The sequence below is a fragment of the Homo sapiens genome, chromosome 7 (assembly GCF_000001405.40).
Source record: "Homo sapiens chromosome 7, GRCh38.p14 Primary Assembly".
Classification (NCBI taxonomy): Eukaryota; Metazoa; Chordata; class Mammalia; order Primates; family Hominidae; genus Homo; species Homo sapiens.
In genome coordinates this window covers 35716031-35719972 of record NC_000007.14, presented here as the reverse complement: position 1 = coordinate 35719972, position 3942 = coordinate 35716031, and the positions used below count along the sequence as shown (strand labels likewise).

Here is a 3942-nt window from a genome sequence, read left to right as displayed (position 1 = left end):
TCAATCAAGCTGCTGAATCAACTGACCCTAGGACTACCCTACTCAAGATGTCTCATTATATAATACACTGTATTTTCCTTTGCTTAAATCAGTTGAGTCAGTATCTTCCAGTATGCGTGACTGGATGCCTCCTGATACACCTGCCTATGTCCACTAATACGGGCACCAAAGAATCTCAGATGGTGGTCATGGGTAGGTTTCTGTTTGGCTATTCTGCAATTTCAGGAGAAGGAAAATGACAGGATAAGAAATTAATGCTGTTAATTGTAATCAATTGTTAATTAAATTTTTATTTTGAGATAACTGTAGATTCACATGCAGTTGTAAGAAATAAGGCAGAGATATCCCGTATACCCTTCAAACATTTTCCCCCAATGGTAACATCTTGCAAAACTATAGTACAATATCACAATGTTGATTTCTACCCCTCTACCTCACTTCAGAGCATATCCATGTATATACATTTTATATTTTAGGCTTCATAAATTCCTAGTTTAAAAACAGTTTACTTGGATTGAACTTTGTACTTTTCCAAGGCATTTTCTAGTCCACTATTTCTCTTAAGGCTTAAAACATCTCTGACTAAGTGAACAAACAGATGAACAAATGAAACAAACATCTATACAATCAGAAGTTAAGGGAGGTTTGAAATAGGCACTGCCACAGAGTAACTGTTAGAGAAGGAGTTCCATGGTACAAACTTTGCACTCTCCATCTACGAAAGGTGGCAGAGTCCTTGAAGTGTTTTTCCTCTCTCCAGCCAGTCCCCACCACTACTGATAATTAAATCCTTCTTGTCAAAGGACAGGACTGGTTCTGGAACAGGTGATTTCAACATCGTGGTGAGTAGTATTATGGAAGCTGGCAAGCACTGTATAAGATGGATCCTTTTGTGCTCATCACCTGTCACGCAAAAAGGTTTGTTATTTTGTGATGATTTCCATGAAATCTCATGGGCTCTATTGGGGGAAAGTTACAAAGCAAGAATTAACAAATAAAGATAAGAGATGGGCCAAAGTTATCTATTGGACACACCATCGGTGGGCATTCCTTGTCCCCTTGCTGCTCTCCTTCTTATAGGGCAAGAGTGAGAACAACCTAGTGGGTGGGAGGGTAATCAGACTTATTGAGTAACATCAGTGTGGGGTTAGACACCAGCTCTCTGAGTTGCCTGGGAAAGTCAACTTTCAGCACCTGAAGGCACTGGGGTCTGTGGAAGGGAGAAACTGGTCTCATGAGCAGTTTGGACGAACCCCTCCTGTGGGGATAAGGTTGGGGGCCTCAGGTGCCAATTGGCTTGTTATCCAGACAATGCAGGTGAGCCACCTAGGTCAGTTGTTGCCAATCCTGATTGTGGCAGGGTACATTTTATTCATCTTCAGATCCCCAGCTCTTAGCACACAGCCTGGCATATGATAGGTACATGAACAATGTCTGATAATGTAATGATTGAATGTGCTTTTGTGCCAATTAAAAACAAGTAATTTGGGTTTTGCTCATGGAAGGAGAGGAGGGCTAATAATAGACATTGTTGCCTACATTTCTTGAATCCCTGAAAGACGGTATACACATTCTGCCCTTACTTTGGTAAAACCTCTCTGAAGAGTCCACAACTCTATGAGGAGGCTTCCTGGTTCAAGCAATATTTTTATTGAATTTTTACTATTTCTTTGCACCACTGGCCAATAAAGCCAGTGTCTAGGATTTGTTATACTGGCACTGAGACACTCAGTAAAGGAAGGCTCTGCTGGTGACAGCAGCTCTGGAATTTTCCACAACCACTCTAACAATCTTTTTGAATCTTCAGTACTTTTACTGAATTAGATACACAGTACAATGGGACACTAGCCACTGTTTGTAAATTTTTCATAAAAACAATTTGGAAAATGACACCCCTTAAACAATTAAATTAAATTAATTAATTTATTTATTTATTTTTGAGATGGAGTTTTGCTCCTGTTGCCCAGGCTGGAGTGCAATGGTGCGATATTGGCTCACTGCAACCTCTACCTCCCGGGTTCAAGCGATTCTCCTGCCTCAGCCTTCCAAGTAGTTGGGATTACAGTCATGCGCCATCATGCCTGGCTAATTTTTTTTGTGTGTGTGTTTAGTAGAGACGGGGTTTCACCATGTTGGCCAAGCTGGTCTCGAACTCCTGACCTCAGGTAATCCGCCCACCTTGGCCTCACAGAGTGCTGGGATTACAGGCATGAGCCACCGCGCCCAGCCAACAGTTTTCTTTAGGGCAGTGTTTCTTATCTTATCACTGCTGAAAAGTCCTTTTAAGACTATTTCTCCACAGACTCCTGTTCTGAAATATTTTGTTTATAAATACATATTTTTGTTAAATAATAATCTTCCCAAGAGGAAATCAAGTAGTCAAGAAATTTTTTTAAACTAAAAGTATCCTTGAGGCTGTATTTTAAGTAAACAAACAATTATCTTTAAGTTTCCTAAAAACTTAAAGTTTCAGGAAAGCTTCAGTTTCAGTAAAAACTGAAAATAACTAGAAGAATTCTCATCCTCTTTATACCCTCGCTTCCCTCCCCACCCTCGCCCCCAGACACTGGTTATTACTTTCCTCAGCTGCTGGGATTCTGGGTATTCTAACTTTGAAACTAGAGTTCCAGAAACACCAGGCAGATAGAATAAAATTAACAAAAGCCTGTGGATTCTCCTAGGTTTTTTGCTATCCATTTACCCTCCTTACTGTTAATGGGTCTTTTACTGTGGCAGTTAGCCCTGCCTCAAAGTCTCCCAAACTGGGGACGATTAGCCCCAGCTTATTGCTAAGATAACATCAAAAGAGGCAATAAGCAAGTTGGCATAGGCAACACCTCTCACCTTAAGGAACTGTCTCCTGAGATGTAGAATAAATCACTTGTCCTCTTTAAATGAATCTCTTCACCATGGTTTTGCTTGATTCCCCCATCCTGAAGTTGCTGCTTTAAGATGGGTGGGAAAATCTCCAGCAAAAGCATAACAAAACAGCAAGTAACAGCAATTTTTTTTTTAACAGAAAAAGGATTATTTTTATTACTTTCATACATTGCCACAGCACTGTTTGGGAAAGATTAGAATCAATAGAAGTTTGGAAATCTGACCTTGGCTGGTGGAAGAATAGAAAGAATCTGGTTCTTCTTAATTTCCCATTCAGGTTCTCAGTGTTCCAGGAAGCAGTTTGCTCAAGTTTCTTTTCTCCATTTAGCTCTCCTGAATGCCCGACTTCAGTGCCTGGGCATTGCTGCCAAGGATCCCGCTGGTGCATTCAGCTGCCATTCAAGGCAACAGCCCTCCACACTGCCTCGCACTTGGAAGTTTGTCTTACAGCATAAAACAGGTGGAAGGACATTCTGCCTTTAGAGTTCTGCTGGCATGTCTTATCACTTCTGTTGTCCAGTGCCAAGAATGACAAAAATCTTTTGTGTATGTTTGGGGGTGGGAAAGACCAGATATAACTGGGAACAGCAGTTAACTTGTTGTTCAGACAAGATTCCCAGGGCAGCTGTTATAACTCAGGCAGCAATAACTCTAACACTTGGCTCTGCTGCTAAGATGGATTGATAGAAACTTTGGACAAATCATCAACAAAAATTATGTTCTCATGAGACTGTTGAATATACTATGGATCAACTTAAAGATAATCAAATATTCGCTAGACTCACAACAAGGAAATACAATAAGCATATTAATCAACTGGGGTTGTGTTTATACTTTCATTTCTAAACATCTGCTTTCAATGAAGTCATTAGTATCTGCTGGCAAAAATTTGAATTGACACAGGACTTGCAATCTGTAGCTACAATTGAGACAGGATTACCTTTTTATGTGCTGACACTCACAGTCTTCTTTAAACTAACAATTTAGTCCACTTCATGATGGAATTCTAAATTCTAATCTGTGAACTTGCCGACTATTTGTCCTTTGCCAAAGACTTTACCC

The 3942-nt window shown here is 40.3% G+C and overlaps 1 long non-coding RNA gene across 2 annotated transcripts; it reads right to left on the bottom strand.

Moving 5' to 3' along the window:
- Positions 1 to 260: 260 nt before the first annotated feature.
- Positions 261 to 3536, bottom strand: LINC03013 (long intergenic non-protein coding RNA 3013). 2 transcript variants are annotated; one of them, NR_108082.1, is made up of 3 exons: positions 3105 to 3536; positions 2845 to 2942; positions 261 to 903 (listed from the first exon to the last, which is right to left on the bottom strand). It is a non-coding gene; the product is annotated as a long intergenic non-protein coding RNA 3013 (long non-coding RNA). The 2 variants fall into 2 exon arrangements; NR_108083.1 differs by lacking the exon at positions 2845 to 2942.
- Positions 3537 to 3942: the final 406 nt, after the last annotated feature.